Source organism: Homo sapiens, chromosome 2 (assembly GCF_000001405.40).
Source record: "Homo sapiens chromosome 2, GRCh38.p14 Primary Assembly".
Taxonomy (NCBI): Eukaryota; Metazoa; Chordata; class Mammalia; order Primates; family Hominidae; genus Homo; species Homo sapiens.
This window is the reverse complement of record NC_000002.12, coordinates 106,473,234-106,494,989: the sequence shown is the minus strand read 5'-3', so window position 1 is coordinate 106,494,989 and position 21,756 is coordinate 106,473,234. Positions and strand designations below refer to the sequence as shown.

The 21,756-nt window shown below is 46.3% G+C and overlaps 1 protein-coding gene and 1 pseudogene across 4 annotated transcripts in view; one reads left to right on the top strand and one right to left on the bottom strand.

Moving 5' to 3' along the window:
* Nucleotides 1-7,626, bottom strand: part of CD8B2 (CD8B family member 2) — a 56,934-nt gene extending 49,308 nt beyond the window's left edge. For all 3 annotated transcript variants that reach the window (NM_001368307.2, XM_024453217.2, NM_001349727.2), the window contains exons 1-2: nucleotides 7,521-7,626; nucleotides 3,757-4,116 (exon numbers count right to left, since the gene is read on the bottom strand). In NM_001368307.2, the coding sequence (NP_001355236.1) occupies nucleotides 3,757-4,116; nucleotides 7,521-7,563 (403 nt within the window). In that variant the 5' untranslated portion in view covers nucleotides 7,564-7,626. The remainder of the gene's footprint in view (nucleotides 1-3,756; nucleotides 4,117-7,520) is intronic.
* LOC107985931 (anaphase-promoting complex subunit 1-like) lies at nucleotides 7,424-21,178 on the top strand (annotated as a pseudogene). Its single transcript, NR_171622.1, has 4 exons — nucleotides 7,424-7,620; nucleotides 17,253-17,533; nucleotides 19,173-19,334; nucleotides 19,825-21,178. The product of NR_171622.1 is annotated as an anaphase-promoting complex subunit 1-like (transcript).

The window sequence follows — 21,756 nt, the reverse complement described above, 5'->3', positions numbered from 1 at the left end:
GGAGGAAGCTCATGGAAGGAGGGGGTGCCCTTTTCTGCATGTAGAGTACCACGCATGTGTCATATTTGGGGATTGGTTTTCCTTCTCAGATGGCCCTAAAATATATATATAATATCAGAGCTAAGGGAAGTTCAGTCTCAAACTTTAATTTCAAAGGTGAACACCAGAGACAAGGGGAGCTGGCCCCTGCAGCCCCAAGTGGTGAGTGCTGTGTTGGGACCCCAAGCCCCTGTCCTGACTCCTGGATGGGTCACCCCTCTCCTTCATTTTTACCCAGTGACCCCTGCTGAAGTGTTGGGAGGGGCAGTGGGCCGGCACCCAGAGCAAAGGAAGACAGCTGTGGCTCTGATGCCTACTGGGGATGAAGGGGGCACTGCTGGCCACAGAGTCCAACCCTTGCCTTTGTGGGTTAAGGAAACAGATCTCTCTGCACTGATTTTCTCCAAAATGGAAGGAGAGGGAGTAAGGAGACACCATGAACCTAAACTCTAGAGTCAGGGGGACAGAAAAAAAAAAAGAAAAGAAAAGAAAAGAAATATTAAGGCTGGGCGCGGTGACTCACGCCTGTAATCCCAGCACTTTGGGAGGCCGAGGCAGGTGGATCACCTGAGGTCAGGAATCCAAGACCAGCCTGGCCAACGTGGCAAAACCCCGTCTCTACTAAAAATACAAAAATTAGTTGGGCGTGGTGGCACGTGCCTGTAATCCCAGCTACTCAAGAGGTTGAGGCAGCAGAGTCGTTTGAACCTGTGAGGCAGAGGTTGCAGTCAGCCAAGATCCTGCCACTAAACTCCAGCCTGGGTGACAGTGACTCCGTCTCAAAAAAAAAAAAAGGTGTTGGGGGGTTGTAAGGGGGAACAGGCAGGGGAAGCCCACAGATCAGTCATTTTTGGGCTGGCATCTTCTATATAAAAGTAGACATTTTAACCCCTCACCTCTCTGAGCCTCCTCTGGAAAGCGGAGAGAACACGATCTGTTTGTCTGCTTCAAGACATTGATGGGAAGAAGCAACTAGGATGAAAGTGCACTAAGCTCCAGCCATGTGTGGGGAGCAGTGCTGAGCCTTTCCGCATAAGTTTACTGGACACAACAACTTTTGGGGCAGGCACTGTTGTCCCCATTTTATCCAGGAGGAAGCCTAGGCTCAGAGAGCTGAAACAATGTGCCCAAAGTTAGACAGCCACTGGCTGCAGAGCCAGTATCTGCAGCAAAAGACCTTGATTCTAGAACCTGTGCTTCTCGCTCTGCCACACTACCTCACGTGCAAAGATTTTCTGACAAAAAGTTGAACACTTTAGGTGCACCCAAGGCCCTGGGTCATCATAGTGCTGAGGGCAACTATTGTAAGAGGAAACTGTCATCAGCAGGGTCGGAGAGGGTGCAACGAGCCTGGCCCTCTCCTGGGAGTGTTGCCTCCTTCAATCCTCACGGCCCTAGAGTAGTTCTGTTTGACTTATTTTCTACCCGAGGAAGCAGGGACGTCTTTCAGATGGTCAGTGGTGAGCCCAGAGGGGAGCCAACTCTTTGGGCCCTCAGTGCCTTGGCTGGGCACCGCCGCCTGGGTCTAGGGGAGACTCAGGTTGGGGGACTGTTCTGTTTTAAATTCTTCTTGCCTAGAGCCAGGTCCCCCTGGATTCCTCCTGAGCCCCCAGTTTAATCTCTCCCTCTCTGTTCTTAAAAGGAATAAAACTTCGAGCCCATGATATACTTAAGGGCCTGAAAAAGGCCCTGTCTCTCCCCAAACACTTTCTCAACCATCCCAGCTTTGTCCTCTAAAAGGCCTTTCTTGGGTGAGAAGGTGGGGTTCGGCTCCGAAGAAGGTCTGATTGCAAGCCCTGGGGAGAAGCAGGTTTGGCTGCAAACCAGAGCTGGAGAGAGGCATTGACATTCCTGTAGTGCTGGGAGGGGTTTGGGGTTTGGAAACACTGAAGTCAGGAGTGAGTGCGGTTGGGATGGAGGCGGTGGGAAGGCGGGAAACTAGCTGTGTTTATTGTACCCTCCACCTTCTCAGACTCTGAAATCTCATGAGTGGAAAGGTGTGGGGCTTACAGAGACAAAAACAATAAGCTAAAGCCAAACCCCAAACCCCAAACTCCCAAAGTCCATTTTTCAATACGAAAATCAGTGGATCCCCACGTGAAGGGATGCCTCAGCTTCTTGCCTGCAATACACCCTCCCAGGCTAGCAAGAGGTGGCGGGGCATCACTTTGGTTTGTGTCTTCCTAATCGTGCTGCTGTCCCCAGCTGCCCCTGCACTTCCTCACGCTGAGTGGTCTAATTTCTGGGTCCCCTTGTGGCTTTTAGTGCCCTCAAGTGAGCAGGAAGCAGGGCAGTGGGAGCCCTGGAGGGGGTTGGCTCCAGCCTTGGGCCAAGCTGGAGGTGGGGCTAGAGCCAGAGGCAGGCTGTGAGAGTTACCACCCATAACTAAATGCCTTCTGTCCAATATGCCACAGGTGCTGCTGAGCACGTGAAATGTGGCCAGTCTGAATCGAGATGAGCCATATGTTTTATGTAAAATGCTCATCGAACACTTAGTATGAAAAATGAATGTAAAATATTTCAGCAATACTTTTTATATTGATTACATGTTGAGATGAAAATATAGTTAATAAATTGAGTTAAATATAACATTATTTAAATTAATTTTACTTGCTTCTTTTTGCTTTTTTAAACATGACTTTAAATTTAGAATTTCATCTGTGGCTTGAAATGTGCGTCTGCTGGACTTGCTGATTTAAGTCAGAGGTCTGCAGCTTCTCTGGGATTAAGTGGGTCATGGAGGCCATCAGCACCCCCGTGTGACACAGAAGAGAACACTGAGGCCCAGGGGAGAAAGCATGGCAAGTTTGCAAGCAGAGCTGGGCCTGGCTCAGTCTCCTTACTAACTTCGACTCAGGTATGAATTCGAGCTGTAGGCCCTCACAGAGAACATAAGGGCACCTGTCCCTCCACTGCCCCTAGAAATGCCCTCACTGGGTATATCAGGGCAGTGAGGGCCTCCTTTCCCTGTGTGCACACTCTGGGGATTTCTAACACCACTATAAGGCCAAGGGGCTCAGCCCAATCCAGCCGTAGCTTCGAATGTCCCTGATGTGGCCTGAAGGACCGCACTGCCCTGTCCCCATAAGAAGAATAATGCCTGGCCAGGCACGGTGGCTCACGCCTGTAATCCTAGCGCTTTGGGAGGCTAAGGTGGGTGGATCACTTGAGGTCAGGAGTTCGAGACCCACCTGGCCAACATGGTGAAATCTCGTCTCCACTAAAAATACAAAAAATTAGCCAGGTGTGGTGGCTCATGCCTGTAATCCCAGCTACTCAGGAAGCTGAGGCAGGAGAATCACTTGAACCCAGGAAGCAGAGGCTGCAGTGAGCCAAGATCGCACCACTGCACCCCAGCCTGGGCAACACAGTGAGGCTCTGTCTCAAAAAAAATAAATAAATAAATAAAAAAGAGAAGCACAATGCTCATCTCTGACGCTGACCCGTCTCTTCCAATTTCATCTTATTCCCACCTAAAGTGGTTAGGTAATAGACCTACCTTCCAGGGTGGTTGGCAGCATTAAGGAAGCTAACTATGTAAACACTTGGAGGGGCTTGGCCTGGGTAAGTCTCCACATGTTCTTTCTGTTACTATTAGCAGCAGTGCCATTAGTCACAGCTGCAGACAGGGGCACACTGAAGCCTGGTGGTCCCAGTGCCTGGCACGTGCCTGGCACACAGTCGGTGCTCACTGATAGCATTGAGCCTGCTTTTTACCCACACTCAGCTGAGTTCCCTTCCCGAAGGTCAGCTCGGGGCTCCCGACGATCATGCAGAAGTAGATGCCACTGTCCTCCGGCTTCACGCTTGTGAGATTGAGAATGAACCGGCTTGCATCCCGAAACACAGCTATCTTCTCCTGTTCCACCTCTTCACCGTGGATAGTCCCTTTTGCGGAATCCCAGAGGGTCAGGAACTCGTGGTGACTATCACTGCTCGGGGCCTGGCGCTGTCTCAGCCAGTAGATGCACATGTTACTGAGGGAGATTTTAGCCTCGCAGGACAGCATCACCATCTTGTTGGTTTGCACCTTTATGTATGCAGGGGTCTGCTGGAGGACTGAGTTGCCATGGAGAACTAGGAAAAGCCAAGAACAGAGACATCGCACATTTTCCTAGCCACAGCTGTGGGACCTCGCAGTCACACTGAGTCAAGTGTCAAAGGAAAAGCCATGGAAGAACCTGCCCAGTTACTGGGTCCAGGGAGTGTGTTGAGCACAGCTGTTGGCTCCTGGACTCAGAGTTCACATACCCCACCTCCCAGGAGATCATCTGGAAGGCAGGTGTTTGCTAAGTTCAGCTTTACAAAGGTACAGGGGAGAGAGCTGCCATTTGTTTATTGTGTACTTATATGCCTGGCCCTTGCATAAAGGAACTCAATCAAGCCTCAAACTGGCTTTGGAATTTTTTAAAAGACATGGGGTCTTGTTATGTTGCCCAGGTTGGAGTGGAGTGGCTACTCACAGGCACTATCATAGTACACTTCAGCCTTGACCTCCTGGGCTCAATCTATCTTCCCACCTCAGCCTCCCAAGTAGCTGAGACTATAGGCATGTACCACCACAAAAGGATAGATCCAGGATTTTTAATCCTCGTTACACAGATGAGGAAACTGAGGCATGAAGTTACTTGTTCAAAGTCCCACTTACAGTATGTAAGTGGCCTAGGAGTCAAACTCAAGGATTTGAAGTCTGAAGCCAAAACTGGTTGCCTTTCACCTCCCCTGGCTGCCACTGGATGTACAGCCCTTCGGTAGGCTCCAAACTGCCGAAGGAGACCCAGGACAGGCTGGGAGAGGAGCCCAGAATCACAGCAGAGCATGTGGCTGGTCTGTCCGTTGCTGGACAGACCCTGGTAGGTACAATTACAGCCCATGACCCCCGAGCCCAGCAACTGATGGGTCACTGGATCCGTATTCCCCAGTGGAAGGACAGACACCACAGAAGCAGGGCTGGGAGTTCATCTTAGACTCTGACGAGAAGCACCCGGCAAGCAGGGGCTTATTCATGAGGAGCTAGAGCAGGACTCACAGACCCGGCCCAGAACCCAGCCTCTGGCCGTGCCAGCTGTGAGACCTCAGGCCAGTCACTGAGCCTCTGTCTTCTTATGAAAGGAGGACAGCTTGGGGCTGTTGTCCTGCCTGCCTCTGAGGGTTGGAAATAAATGAAATGCTGTCCAAAAAAGCACACTGCAAACTGTATGGCCATGTACACAGGTAAATACTGTCCCTGTGTCTCATATCACAGGGTTGTTACTGGAAGTAAATTAAATCTCAAGGAGAAGGATCAGAACAGGTTCCATACACACCAAGGCTGCACAGCTTCCAACAAACACAATCTGACCTGGTGAGCCCTTCATTTTGGCTGTGGAGCAAAGGGAGACATTGCAGGCCAGGGCAGAGACGCAGGAGTTGGGAGGCACAGAGAGGACACAGACCTGGGTAGGCAGAGGGGGGCAGAGGGCATGTGTGTGTGCCCAAGAGGAGCCAGCTTACTGAGCACCTCATGTTTAAAATCCTGCCTGCACTTGCAGCTCAGGCTCCGTGGCCCCATAATGGCCTTCTCCAACACTGATGAAATGAACTTCGACTTTTTGACTTCGCTCCTGGACCACTCTTAGCTTTCGCTCGCATCAAGAATGAAATGATGGGGCCGGGTGTGGTGGCTCATGTTTGTAATCCCAGCACTTTGGGAGATCGAGGCAGGAGGATCACTTGGGCTCAGGATATCGAGACCAGCCTGGGCAACATAGTGAGACCCTGTCTCTACTAAGAATACAAAAATTATCCAGGCATGATGGCGCATGCCTCTAATCCCAGCTACTAGGGAGGCTGAGGCAGGAGAATGGCTTGAACCCGGGAGGCGGAGATTGCAGTGAGCCAAGATTGCGCCACTGCACTCCAGCCTGGGCGACAGAGCAAGACTCCGTCTTGGAAAAGAAAAAATTATTAAAAAATAAAAATAAAAATAAAAACAAGAAGGAAATGATGCCTGGGGCACAAGTGGCTGCTGGACTTCCTCTTGTTTCCCCAAACACCACACTGCCGTTCCAGCAGAGCAGAGGTTTTTCCTTGCTTTGGGTCACTCACTTCTTGGGGGAGTTAATAAGAATCAATAATGCCAGTTTATTGAGCTGTGCCTGGCATGGCGCATACATTGTCTCATTTGATCCTCACCAAATCCTGTGGGGGAGATACTGTTTTGCAACTACTTTATCCATGAGGAAAGAGAGACTCAGGAAGGTTAAAGATGTGCTCAAGGTCACACAGTGATCCAGATTAAAACCCAGCTTGTGGGACCCCAGAACCTGACTTTGAACCACTGAATTGAAGAAACCTGCAATCCTCTCCCCGATGGTGGTTATGTGCTCACGAGCACACAGTGGGGCTGCAAGTACACAGGTGCCCGAAGCCCTTCAGGGAAAACCCAGAAGCGACTCCTGTAAGAGCAAGGCCTGGGCTGTGAGTGTGCATTTCCTCTCCTGGCTGAGACACACCCCGGCTCTTCCCGGGACCCACTTGCTTTTTGTCCCCTAGGAACTGAATACTCCGGGCTGTGGCCAAGGCCCTGCTGTGTGCTGGACATGGAGCCAGGCCTCACTGCATGTTCCCCTCGGTAACCCAGGAATTCCATTCTCAGAGGGACCTGATGTTTCTAGATTCATCAGTAATGACTTTAGTGCTCTGAACGGCCTGGGCTCTTTCTATTTATGATGTGGCACTCACTGGGCCAGAACCCCCGGCGGGCAGGCCTTGTCACCCCCTGGCAAGATGACCAGCTTTGGGCTTTTTGGGCACGAGAGCAAATCGACAAGTTTGGGCAGTTTTCCGGGTGTGTGGAGGCTTCTTCCAAAAGGCAGTCTGGCTGGGCTTACTCAGAAGGACAATCCAGATGCCCCATCCAACTCCAGCAACCCAACCTCCAGGCTGCTTCCTAGGGAGCCACGCTACCCATGACACCCAACACCAGCCACATCAGGGAGAACGGGAGCCAGAGGGATCACCCTGCCCTAGCCCTCCGAGAACTGAGAACGCCCCATGTTTGTCTGATTGTACTACAAACACTTCCCCGGAAGTAATAAAAATGTGTCCACAGGACCCACGGCCTGGCCAACCTTCCTCCGAGCACATCCTGCGGGGACCCTGGGCAGGGACCTGTTTCCTTCCCCTGGTGACCTCCAGTGACCCTCTCTTTCCTTCCCTCACTCGCTCCCCTTTTCACTGCCTCCCCTTCTCCTGCGTCCAGGCTTTTGAGGGGAGGTGGCCTCAGTCAGGGGCTCTCCGGTCCCCCGGGGTAATGCGATATGGGGGTATTTTATTTCCACCCTTAGGGACCCTGCCTGCCAAGCTGCCTCCCGGGCGCCCCGCCACCGCGGGCTCGACGCTGCACCCTGCCAGGACCAGGGCCAGGACAGCCACGTATCACCTCCCCGCTCAGGCCCCGGGAGCGCAGACCTTGGGCAGCCCGCGCGCCGCCGCCTTACCTGTCAGCTGCGCGGCCAGGAGGAGCCACAGCCGCGGCCGCATCGGGGCGCGCCCGGGACACCTGGCCCCGGGGGCTCGGCGGAGACAGTCGCGGCTGGGGTGGGTGAGGAGCTGGCCGGGCGGGGCGCCTGGGTCGGGGAGCTGGGGGGGGCAGTGGGGAGGGCGGGACCGGGCGCGGTGGCTGCGGGAGTCTGGTGTTGGGGACCGCGAGGTCTCCGCCCTCATCCTCCTAGCATTGCAAAGGTCTGGGCTGCGTTTCCAGAGCCCACCAGGACCCTCCGCTTTCCAGAAAGGAGGGGACACCGCCGGCCTCCCCCAGGCAGCTGCATGTGTGTCATCGCCCCCTGCCCCGGGAGGTGCTCAGGAAAGGGTTGTGACCCCGAGTGACAGTAGAGGCTCAGAGAGGTCAGGATGTGTAGTGCATGGTGGAGCTGGCCACTAACTCGGGCCGCTTCTTGTCTGTTTGAGTAGCAATTGAGGGGCTCCTGGGTGCCCCGGGCTGGGCTGGGCCTGGAGTCAGCAAGCCCCAAGTCTTGCCCTCCCTTGCCAGGGAGGAAGGAAAGGTAACCGGCTGTGACACTGAGGGAGGTGAGCTGGGAACTGGAGGTGCAGAGAAGGCCCCGACGCTGTTTGTAGGTTGTGCGGGTGCAGCAAGACCTAGATCTTAAGAATTTCGAAGGACTGTGACGATCACCGGCTGCGCCCTGCCGGCGAGTGCCCTGGGGCCGGCTCTATTTGTTGCGCGATCCAGCCCTGGTGGGGAGATTTGTGAGGGGAGACCTGGCTCAGGCTGTGTCTTCCTGTTCAAACGGGGGTTAGTAGAGAGGGGGTTGGGGAGGTCCAGGGAGAACTGGGCATGCAGCCTGCAGGGGAGAGGGACCCCTTGGAGGGCTGCGGGAGAGGCTCCTTGTAAATGTCAGCAAAGACCCAGCCAGGCAGGTCCATGGGTTACCCTAAGAGCTTAGAGTTTATCGGAGAGGAAATGGCATGTCCCCTGAGATCTAAAGCAGGCAGCCGGGCAAGGACACTGTCACATTTGGTCTCCACATCCAGTATTCTTTCCATCCCACTCTTGCCCCAGCCCCTCTGCCCATTGCTGGTGACAGCATTGCTCATGGCTGAGTTGGGTGCAGAGAGTTCAAAGGCACTGGGGGAAAAGAAGTCACTCAGCCCAGCCAGAGGCCAGAGTCTCGCTGGATACTGCCTTCGCTCCCAGGAGCGACTGTTGAGGTCTGGATGGACACAGACCTGGGGAGACCACACACTAGTGTGAGCTTTTTAAAAAAACGGATGTGAATTTCACATAACACAAAATTAACCATTCAAAAGCATACAGTCCAGTGGTGTTTAGTACATTCACAATGTTGTACAACCACCACATCTGTCTAGTTCTGAAATATTTTTATTTCCCCAAAAGAAATCCCTGCACCCATTAAGCAGTCACTCCCTATTGTCACCTTTCTCCAAATCCTGGCAACAACTAATCTTCATTCTGTTCTTGGATTTACCTGTTCTAGATATTTCATGCAATGGACCCATACAATGTGTGGTCTTTAGCGAATGGCTTCTTTGACTCAGCGCAATGTTTTTCAGGTTCATCCCCATTGTAGCACCATTTCTTCTTATTGTTGAGTAATATTTTGTGTATGTACCTGTATATACCACATTTTCTTTATCTGTTCATCTAATGATGGACATTTGAGTGGGCTACTATATCTACTTTTTGACTTTTGTGAGTAATGCTACTGTGAACATTCTTGTACAAATATATGTTTGGGTGCCTGTTTTCAATTCTTTCAGGTATGTACTCAGGCAGTGCAATTGCTGGGTCATACAATAATTCTATGTTTAACTTTTTGAGGGACTAACCAACTGTTTTCCATAGCAGCTGTGACCATTTACATTTCTGCCAACAATGAAAGGGTTCCAATTTCCCCACATCATCGTCAACACTTGTTATTTTCTGTTTTTGTTTTGTTCCATCCTAGTGGGTGTGAAGTGATATCTCATTGTGGTTTGGATTTGTACTTCCTGAATGAGAAATGATGTTAAGCATCAATTCATGTGCTTGTTGGCCATTTGTATTTCTTCTTTGTATGTGTATTCAAAGTATTTGTTGTTTAGAAAACACAAGCTACCTCTTTCTATCCACTCTCTCATGGGCGCCACAGCATTGCAAAAGGAACAACTTTCTCAGTAAATGATTAAAAGTTACTCACTGCTTTGTCAGGTATTGTCTAAAATCATAGACAGGGAACCCCTGGATGCATTAGTTATGGAAACTCTTGCGTTTGTGATAAATTAACCTCTAAATATTAGTGGTTTAACTCAATACAAATCCCCTGCATTGTTCTGTGACATTCAAGTGCAGTTGTGCCAGGGAGTAAGGAGTATTTGCTCCACTCAGTCCTGCAGGGGACCAGGGTCTTTCCCCCATCTTCAACTCATGGCTCCAGGGATCACTGTGCAAAGGGAAAAGAGGATGACTGCCTTCACCAGGGCAGTGTAGAGGGTGCTGGGGCTGGGTACCAGGCCTGGAAGCATCAACATCACTCTGTCTACTTTCCACTGGCCAGAGCTCAGTCACATGGACTCAATCATACCATAACGGGGCTGGAAAATGGAGTCTACTTGAGTGCCCAAGAGGAAAGGGGAAATGGAATCAGTGAATACATAACCAGCATGGACCGCACTGGTATAGCAGAAAGAGCACTGGTTAGCATCACTTCTCTGCTACTTACGCACTCTCAGGCCTCTGTTTCTACGTGGATAAATGAGGAAAATAATACCAACCATGCCATCTCACTGGGTTAACTTCAGGGCTAAATAAAATCCGGGATCTGCTTGCCCATTGAACTTGGAGGAGGTAACTCAGCAGGTCTCAGATGAAGCTATCACTTTCTTGTGGGACTGGCTTGGGAAAACATTGAGGGCATGGAGATGGTCATATCGATTGAGGTGGGCTGTGGGCGTTTAGTGGGTGGGGTCAGGGAAGCCAGGTGCACAGAAGGACCTTTCCTTTGATGTTCATGTGTGCCATTGGATATTCATTCAGGTGAATAACCTGTTTGTAATTAATTATCTGAACCTGGAACAAAACTCAGTTTTGCCTGTCAACATAAAGTACCTTTCCCTCTCAGGTTTTGCCTTCTCTGAATGTAGCGGTTTTTAGTCCACCATTCACTTGTGCCTTTGCTCTTCCATTTTCCTGGTCTTGGCTACAGATCAGCTCATGCTCTGACTTCTCTTCGGTTGACGTTTGTTCAGTACAGGTTGGTATAAGTATTTGGGGACCTCACTATATTGTCTTCTGCAGCTGTGCCTGAGTGTTGACTGGTCCATTTATTATAAAGCAATCTCCTCTTTTATATAGTTCAGGATTTTTGTTGACTTGTTTTGAAATTACATGTGTAGGTAGAGCCTATTATCTGTGAAATTCATTTCAGGACAGTAAAAGTATCATTACAAAGAGTCGTTCTGGTGAAGGAGGGCTGGTCTGATGGGTTGAGAACTGCTAGATTGGGTCATCGAAGTGTGACCTGCTGCCACTGTGGTGCCTGGCCAGAACTCAGTCACATGGACTCAACCAAACTGTAAGGGGCCTGGAAAATGGAGTTTAGTTGGGTGCCCAAGAGAAAAGGGAAATGGAATCAGAGAATACATAACCTGCCTGGACTGCACTGGTATAGCAGAAAGAGTGCCTGTTAGCATCGCTTCTCTGCTATTTACCCACTCTCAGGCCTCAGTTCCTATATTCATAAATGAGGGGTGCTCTTTAAATAGCTGTGGAAGGAGTGAACAGGTAAAAGGACTGGTGTAAAAATTAAGATAGTGCAGCCAGGCACGGTGGCTCAGGCCTGTAATCCTAACACTTTGGGAGGTGGAGGAGGGGGGATCACCTGAGGTCAGGAGTTCAAGACCAGCCTGGTCAATATGGCAAAATCCCATCTCTACTACAAATACAAAAATTAGCTGGGTGGGGTAGGGCACCTGTAATCTCAACTATTCAGGAGGCTGAGGCAGGAGAATCGCTTGAACCCAGAGGGCAGAGGTTGCAGTGAGCCAAGATTGCGCCATTGCACTCCAGCCTGGGCGACAGAGCAAGACTCCATCTCAAAAAAAAAAAAAAAAAAAAATTAAGATAATGCAATAAGAAAATTCCAGAATACAAGCAGATTTTTAGATCAGTTTTACAGAGAACATTTTGAACGATGTAGAATAAAAGCTTATTAGGTTGATGCTCACTTTCCACTTGGAAATCTCACGCTTAGTTCTAACCCAAATCAAAGAGAAGAAGTCTAGATTGCTTTTTATAGTCTCCTTAGGAAAAAGTCTCAAATATCAAACTAACCACCATCAAAGGGAGCCCAAATCAAACAAAAATATATTGAATAAGCCTCTTTTAGTAGGGAGTTAATGATTCCACTGTTACCATTAAAAGAAATGAAAGCAGAATCCCTCCTACTCAGAGAAGTGACATGAGGTGTAAAGCAAAGAAAATAATGTCTTTAGAGAGTTTATTTCCAAGTTGGAGACCAGGCCCATGGAATGCTCCCCTATTGGAGGTCAAAGTGCAGCTCCATATCTCAAAATCAAGTTCGTACAAACACTTTACTAGTACTACCTCCCCAAGGACACATTCCACCTTTTTTTTTTTTTTTGTAGAGACAGAGTCTTGCTCTGTTGCCCAGTCTGGAGTGCAGTGGCGCTGTCTCGGCTCACTGCAACCTCTGCCTCCCAGGTTCAAACAATTCTCTTGCCTCAGCTTCCCGAGTAGCTGGTATTACAGGCACGTGCCACCACACTCAGCTAATTTATTTTGTATTTTAGTAGAGACAGGGTTTCACTGTGTTGCCCAGGCTGGTCTCAAACTCCTGAGCTTAGGCAATCTACCCGCCTCGGCCTCCCAAAGTGCTAGGATTACAGACATGAGCCACCGCACCTGGCCTCCCACTTTTTTATTTTTCCACATTAATTTTCTTATTTTAGTGATTTTATTTTAAAATGTTGAAACACTATGTTCATATTGTACTGTCAATCAAAAATAAAAATAAAAAATGTTAAAAAACATAAGAAAGAATATCCAGGATTTTTAAAATCACATAAAGAAATGAAAGTCTCTTTTTCTGCTCCTACCAATTCCAGACTCTAGGGTGAGCCTTTTAACAAAAAGAAATTATTCAAATAAGAGAAAGAGGGCCAGGTGCAGTAGCTTGCAGTTGTAATCCCAGCTACTCAGAAGGCTGAGGTGGGAGGATTGATTGAGCTCAGGAGTTGGAGACCAGCTCAGGCAATATGGTGAAACCCTGTCTTTACCAAAAAAAAAATAAAAATAAAAAATTACCCAGAGGTGGTGGCGTGTGCCTGTAGTCCCAGCTACTTGGGAAGCTGAGGTGGGAGGATCACCTGAACCCAGGAGGTTGAGGCTGCAGTGAGCCATGATTGTGCCACCGCACTCCAGCCTGAGCAACAGAATGGAAACCTTGTCTCAAAATAAAAAGGGATTTTTTTTTTCAGGAGATCAAAAATGTTGATCCAGTAGAAAAGTTAATCTCTGGCCAAGCAGAGTGGCTCATGCCTGTAACTTTGGGAGACTGAGCTGTGAGGATCGCTTGAGGCCAGGAGTTCAAGATCAGTCTGGACAACATAGCAAGACCCCCATCTCTATTAAAAAAGAAAAAAAAGAAGGAAAAGCTAATTTAAAAATTATGACTACCCAGAGGACATCAACCATTTCTGTATCTAAATTAGCAAACTTATTGCAACATAAATCTCTGTTCCTTAAATACTTTTCAGACTAAGTGTGCCATGCTTGTTGGTCTTTTACTTCTTTGTGCACAAATGCAGTAGTAGAAGGAAGAAAATGAGATGGGCTGGGGTACTGAGTGTCAGTTAAGGGATCTGGCTTTGCTCAGGACCTTGACCAATGAGAGATCTATCGGTTCTCATTATATCTATAGCTATATACGCAGGTGCATATGCATTTATATTATTTTACATAGTTCAAAACATTCTCTGATAGATTGATCTAAAATCAGCTTGTGTTTGGGAAATTTTCTTATTGTTTGGCGGTCTTAGCTCTTAGCTCAAACCTGGTGAGCAGAGTGGTCTAGATTCGAGCCCCCACTCACCTCCTTGGCTGAGCATCTGTATCTTGTGGCCCTGGGCCTATCAGCAAGACTTAAATTGGAACTTGGGCTGGACACTAACTGGTGCCCTGCCTTGGGGGAATGGCTTTCCTATCTGGGTCCCACAGTTCTCATATGAATCACACCTACTTCACAGGACATTTTGTGTGATCAGAGTCAGCATGTAATGCAGTGTGTTCTATGCCCACCACCCCACATATGCTTACTGAGCACATGCTCTGCTATTCCGGGCCCTGTGCATTCCAGGCATTGTGCATATATTGATAAACTAAACAGATAAGATTTTTGTCCACGGGGAGCATAGAGTCTTGTGAGATAGACAAATAATAGGCCAGGCGTGGTGGCACACACCTGTAATCCCGGCACTTTGAGGGGCTGAGATGGGAGGATCACTTGAGGCCAGGAGTTCGAGACCAGCCTGGTTAATGTAGTGAAACTTCATATCTATTTTTTAAAAAAAGCAAATAATAAATAAATGCTATAAAAATGTGCAATTAATGAGCCTGGTAAAGAAATAGAGGCCCAGATGAGACTTGGAAAATAATTTTTTTTTTTTTTTTGAGGCAATCTGGCTCTGTCACCAGGCTGGAGTGCAGTGGCACAATCTCGGCTCACTGCAAGCTCCACCTTCCAGGTTCATGAAATTCTCCTGCCTTAGCCTCCCGAGTAGCTGGAATTACAGGTGCCCGCCACCATGCTCGGCTAATTTTTTGTATTTTTAGTAGAGACGGGTTTCACCATGTTAGCCAGGATGGTCTTGATCTCCTGACCTTGTGATCCACCCGCCTTGGCCTCCCAACGTGCTGGGATTACAGGCGTGAGCCACCACGCCCAGCTGGAAAATAAATAATTTAAATAAGTTGTTGCAACCTTATTCTGTGGCTTGAAGAAAATGTGACTGTGGAACCTGAGCTACATAGCTAACAGCTGCAACTTCTGCTTATCTGATTATAGATTCATCCTTTTTAAATTTTTTTTTGTTTGTAAAATGTTGTGAAAGACTGAATGGCACCAAGATAAGACCCCTTCCCTTCTGAGTCACTGATCTTTTGTTATAGATTAACTTCTTCTCTTGTACCAGGTGGCACAAAATACTCCATGACTATTAAATTACTCAAGATGCAGCTGGAAGCTGCATCAGCTCAAGATGAGCGCCTTTATAATCTCCCTCACCAAAGTCAAAAAAAAAAAAAACAAAAGAGCTTATCTAAAAAAATATAGAAATACACTTACTTCCAGATTTACAAAGAAGTGGAGTTATTTCATCTAGTGGGTGCAGCATGCTGAACATAGTGGGTAAAGGTTCTCTAGCAATAAACAAATAATTAATTACCAATACGAGTATGTCTGTGCACAAATTTTGCACTTCTATTGAAAAGAAATCTCCAGATTACACGAGCAACTAGAAACCTACTATCTCAAAATGCAATCTTCTGAACTTTGTACATACTATTTTTCACATTGTCTTCTATTTCATTCCTAGAAATCTCTCCCCTGAGAGTAGTTCTATCAATGCACCAACAGAGGAAAATCAATATAGTCCAGAGAATTTCTGCAAACAGCAGTCATCACAGTACAGAACAAATGGAGTAATGTGCATAAAGCAGTCTTTTTTTATTGACCTCTCTTACTGGCAGTGTGTCTTTGGCAGCTAAGAAAGAAATTTATTCTCCCATACCTGCTGACAAAGGAATGCATTTTTTAAAAAAGGAAGAAACAAACTACTTCAAGTAAATTAAGTCTGCTTTTTTTTTTTTTTGAGATGGAGTCTCACTCTGTTGCCCAGGCGAGAGTGCAGGGGCATGATCTCGGCTCACTGCAACCTCCACCTCCCAGGTTCAAGCGATTCTCCTGTCTCAACCTCCCGAGTAGTTGGGATTACAGGCACACACCACCACGCCCAGCTAGTTTTTTTGTATTTTTAGTAGAGACGGGCTTTCACCATGTTGGCCAGGCTGGTCTCGAACTCCTGACCTCAGGTGATCCACTCGCCTCGGCCTCCCAAAGTGCTGGGATTACAGACGTGAGCCATCGCGCCTGGCCAAGAATAACATTTAATTCACAGCAAAATAACTTTGTGGCTTTAGAGGAGCTGCAAAGGAACTACATAGGCTTTGGGTGTTTGTGTAACCATATAGGACTCTTGCCCTATGAGCAGCAAGTCAATACATGGAAACAACAGGGATTGCAGCAGATAAAGTGTTTTACTTGCAGGGCCACCGAACTAGGAGACTGAGGAAACTTCAAGTCAGCCTCCCCAAAGAGTTAAGGTCTAGAGGTTTTTTGGTTTTTTTTTTTGAGACAGAGTCTTGCTCTGTTGCCCAGGCTGGAGTACAATGGCATGATCTCGGCTCGCTGCAACCTCCGCTTCCTGGGTTCACGCCATTCTCCTGCCTCAGCCTCCCGAGTAGCTGGGACTACAGGCGCCCGCCACCAAGTCCAGCTAATTTTTTGTATTTTTAGTAGAGATGGGGGTTCACCATGTTAGCCAGGATGGTCTCGATCTCCTGACCTGGTGATCCGCCCGCTTCGGCCTCCCACAGTGCTGGGATTATAGGCGAGAGCCACCGCGCCCGGCCCAGAGGTTTTAAAGAGAGGGTAGTGGGCTAAGGTATTGATTGGTCAGAGAACGAAGGATGAAGTCATAAGACAGAGAGATAAACCACATTCTCATGCTAATGTGGTTCCTTGATGGGGTCTTAAGACTAGCTTGCATCATCTCAAAAGTCTTAGGCTCCTAACATTAAAAATGTTGTCTATAGGAACATGGTATATATAAACAGGTACAGGAAAGTGGATCAAAGGGCAATCTAATTATACTTATCTGTACTTTTGTCTAAAGCCTGGCTGCTTCCTAACCTTGTGATGAAGGCTTTAACAGTTATCCACATTTTTTTAGTAATAAACTGTACTGTAATATATTAATAATTAGATTAATTAGATGTAATAATTAATTAAAACCTAATACCCTTAAATCTGCAAGCATAACTGTTCCATGGCTAGAGTTATTCATGCCTCAGTTCTCTGGGTTTCGACCAATAATTGAAATTGATTGTAGTTATATATTTAGGTGGGATTGGGGGTGTCACAGCTACTTAAGACATTTGATAACCTATGTCTTTTGTAGATTGGTCAGCTGAAAGCAGTTCAACCTCTGATGAATTAATGTGTGGTTTTTTATTGTTTTATTCCAATATGACAATGATCCCTTAGATGTACTTTTCAAATGAGGTTCTGGCATCTAACCAGAAATGACCTTAAATGTTGAGAAGCCATGTAGTTATGGGACTACAGAATACAACTTGTCTAAATACTTCATATATAAAGTATGGAAAAATTAGCGTATAGTAGTGGGAAACACGGGATAGGTGGTGCGGGACATAAGTACTTGTTGCATCTCAGTGGTTTCCTATAGTGGTAACTGTCAGTCTGTGACTAAAATGTGATAATTGCAACTGTCTGAATCAGATCTAGAATGCCCTTTTATGTTATGACCAACTTATACACTTACCAGTCTGATATAATTACTTGACACCTATGTAAGGATTAAGGACTTGTGTGTTTATGGTATTTTTATTCTAGTTTTGAGTCTGGAAGCTGACCAGAATGTGTTTGAAGTCATACAGAAATAATGTTGATATTTGGAACCCATGACGAACTTCTATGAAGAAAGGACAACGATGATTGCAGCCAGGGATTTGCAGGAATTTGTTCCTTTTGGTGGAGACCACTGCAAGCACCACCCTAATGCTTTGAACCTTCAACTTCGCCAGCTGCAGCCAGCTTCAGAATTATGGTCTTCTGATGGTGCTGCTGGCTTGGTGGGATCCCTTCAGGAGGTTACAATCCACGAGAAACAGAAGGTTCCATTGAGTTTCCCATTGTGTTTTTGAAATGTAGAGTGATATAATCTACTTGTAATTTAAGGCTACTAAGATGCAACTGAGAGATCGGTGTGATGCCACTTCTAGGGTAGAGTTAAGGTGTGGTAATTTCAATAAATGTTGAAAATAATGACTTTATTACATTGTCATAGCGACTTATTTAGATACCCTCTATAACTTGTGGTTTTATTTATTTTTTATTTTTTAATTTTTTTGTTTGAGATGGAGTTTTGCTCTTTTTGCCCAGGCTGGAGTGCAGTGGTGCGATCTCGGCTCACCGCAACCTCTGCCTCCCGGGTTCAAGTGATTCTCCTGCCTCAGCCTCCCGAGAAGCTGGGATTACAGGCATGCACCACCACCCCTGCTAATTTTGTATTTTTAGTAGAGATGGGGTTTCTCCATGTTGGTCAGGCTGGTCTTGAACTCCGGACCTCAGGTGATCCACCCGCCTCGGCCTCCCAAAGTGCTGGGTTTACAGGCGTGAGCCACTGTGCCCGGCCAACTTGTGGTGTTATAATGTGAGTCAGGTTCAGTAGTACGATTGTTGTCCATTTTAAACCTTTTTCTTTTCACTTAATATGTGGGGACCAGATTTCATGTTATTTAATGATTAAATGGTAGAGATTAGAAGTAGTCCCTGCTGCAGAAGATTTACATGTTTCTAAAGGAGAGAAGAAATGCCACAAAAGTAGGTAGAGTAATAGTTTTTTTTTTTTTCCTGAGATGGAGTTTCACTCTTGTTGCCCAGGCTGGAGTGCAATGGCACAATCTCAGCTCACCGCAACCTCTGCCTCCTGGATTCAAGCGATTCTCCTGCCTCAGCCTCCCGAGTAGCTGAGATTACAGGCATGTGCCACCACGCCCAGCTAATTTTGTATTTTTTTAGTAGAGGCGGGATTTCTCCATGTTGGTCAGGCTAGTCTCAAACTCCAGACCTCAGGTGATCCACCTGCCACGGCTTCCCAAAGTGCTGGGATTACAGGCGTGAGCCACCACACCCGGCGAGTAATAGTTCTTAAGTAGGGGAATGAGATGTTAAGTGTGTGTCAGAAAATGAATCCCTCCTGCCTTATTCCATTGTCATATCCCTTTGGGATACCAAAATCTCGGGGAGGGAAAGCCTATGTAGTTACAAATGGAAACTTCTCTTTCTTCCATTCATTTTGGTGTGTGGGACAAAGGAAAAGAAGGTGAATATATATGTGATTGCGAAGCAGGAAGTCTGCATTTGTGCATAAACTCCCCGAGTGATTCCCACGTGCACCTCACTGTCCTTTCCCTACCCTACCTCATATACTTAATATGTCCTTTTAGTCTCCCAAGCATGTGATTTGACTTTTGGAACTATAGAGGTGTACTTTTTGTTTGTTTTTGTTTTTGGCAGAGGAATATAGAGGAATAATATAAAACATTCAATATAGAGAATTATTGCATAAATTCTTCATGTAATTCTGTAATGTAATGCATATATCCACATCCTCTGTTAATCAGTGTACCAAACTTTGTAGGAGTTGTGTTTGAATTGAGTCTTACTCCATGGGCAAATAAATTTTGTTCCAGATTTTTGAAGAACAAAAAAAGAGTGCTCGAATATGTCTTACATGTGTTAATTTTTAAGGAAAACTGGCAGTTAAGGAAAGGAGTAAGTGAAATTGGAGAAGATGTGGACTATGATGAGGAACTCTATGTTGCTGGAAATATGGTGATATGGAGCAAAGGAAGTAAAAGCCAGGCATTGGCAGTTTATAAAGCATTTACAGTTGACAGTCCTGTTCAGCAGGTGAGTTGATTTGAATTTTAGCATTTGATTCACTATTTAATGCAATTTAAAAAAAGTTTTGTTTTAAAATTTAACAGAAATGATAAAACCAGCCTAATGATCTCAGCAGCTGGGTGTACGTTGTAACATGACATAATGTAATGTGAAGATAATGGCAGGAAAATAAAAATTTAATTTTATTTTATATATCATCACTTTTTTTACACTCTCCTTTGTCACTTTGATGATAATCTTTAAACACTCTGTCGTTATGTAATTCAATTTGTTATTGCCAGCAAAAACCTATAAAACATTGAGTACAGAAATATTTTAACACATGATTACTATAATTGATTGCAAAGATTTGAATAAATAAAAATTGTGGGATTCATAATGGTAGAGAGAAAGGAAAAAATCTGCTTTGCAACCATTGCAGTTGGCTGTTATAACTAACTGTTCTGAAAGTTGATAATGAAAGGGAAAGAATTAAGCATTTGCCATATTTTTTCAGGACCCTCTAATGGCCTCTAAGTTTTCAAATGAAGGGAAGAATCACAAGTTTCTCACTTTACATCAAAAACTAGAAATGATTAAGCTTCGTGAGGAAGGCGTGTTGAAAGCTGAGATAGGTTGAGAGCCAGACCACCTGTGCACAAGAGCCAACTTGCGCATGCAGAGGAAAAGCTCTCGAAGGAAATTAAAAGTGCTATTTCAGTGAACATGGCAACTGATAAAGCGAAACAGCCTTATCGCTGATATGAAGAAAGTTTTAGTGTCTGGACAGAAGATCAAACCAGCCATAACATTCCCTTATGCTGAAGTCGAATCCACAGCAAGGCCCTAACTCTCTTTAATTCTGTGACGGCCAAGAAAGGTGAAGAAGCTGCAGACGAAAAGTTGTAAGCTAACAGAGGTTGATTCTTGAGGTTTAAGGAAAAAAGCCCTCTCTATAACACAAAAGTGCAAGGTGAAGCAGCATGTGCTGATGTAGAAGCTGCTAAGATAATTGATGCAGGTGGCTACACTAAACAGATTTTCAGTGTGGATGAAACAGCTTTCTGTTGGAAGAAGATGCCATCTAGGACTTTCATAACCTGAGAGGAGAAGTCAGTGCCTGGCTTCAAAGGACAGTCTGACCCTCTTGTTAGGGGCTAATGCAGCTGGTGACTTAAAGTTGAAGCCCGTGCTCATTTACCATTTCAAAAATCTTAGGGCCCTTAAGAATTATACCAAGTCTGCTCTGCCTGGGCTCTATAAATGGAGCGACAAAGACTGGATGGCAGCACACCTGTTTATAGCATGGTTTACTGAATGTGTCAAGCCCACTGTTGAGACGTATTGCTCAGAAAAAAGATTCCTTTCAAAATATTACCGCTCATTGACAGTGCACCTGGTCATCTAAGAGCTCTGAGGGAGATGTACAGGAGATGAATGTTGTTTTCATGCCTGCTGACATATCTGTTCTGCAGCCTGTGAAGGAGTAATTTTGACTTTCAAGTCTTACTATGAAATACATTACTTAACTAGAGCTGCCATAGATAGTGATTCCTCTAAGAGATCTGGCAAAGTCCATTGAAAACCTTCTGGGCCGGGTGCGGCAGCTCACGCCTGTAATCCTAGCACTTTGGGAGGCCGAGGCAGGTGGATCACGAGGTCAGGAGATCGAGACCACCCTGGCTAACACAGTGAAACCCTGTGTCTACTAAAAGTACAAAAAATTAGCCGGGCGTGGTGGCGTGTGCCTGTAGTTCCAGCTACTCGGGAGGCTGAGGCAGGAGACTGGCATGAACCCAGGAGGCAGAGCTTGCAGTGAGCCGAGATTGCGCCACTGCACTCCAGCCTGGGCAACAGAGGGAGACTCCATCTCAAAAAAAAAAAAAAAAAAAAAAAAAAAACCTTCTGGAAAGGATTCACCTTTCTAGATGCCATTAAGAATATTCATGATTCATGGGAGGAGGACAAAATATCAACATAAACAGGAACTTGGAAGAAGTTGATTCCAACCCTCATGGGTGACTTTGAGGGGCTCAAAACTTCAGTGGAGGAAGTCACTGCAGATGTGGTGGAAATAGCAAGAGAATTTGAATTAGAAGTAGAGCCTGAAGATGTGACTAAATTGCCAAGATCTTATGATTAAACCTGAACAGAACTGCCAAACTTGAACAGAATTGCCAAAATCTTATGATCAAACTTGAAGAGTTGCTTCTTCTGGATGAGCAAAGAAAGTGGGAACATACAGAAAACAAATATTAAATGGCAGATTTAAATCCCACTAGGCCACTAATTAAATACAATGGTCTAACACAAATAACAGAGACTAGCGGAAGAGATTAGAAAGTACAGCCCAACTATATATGTTGGTTATAAGAAGAAGTGTTCTTCAAATATAATGACATAGGTAAGTTAAAGGATGGAAAGAAGATATATTATGCAAACAGTAATC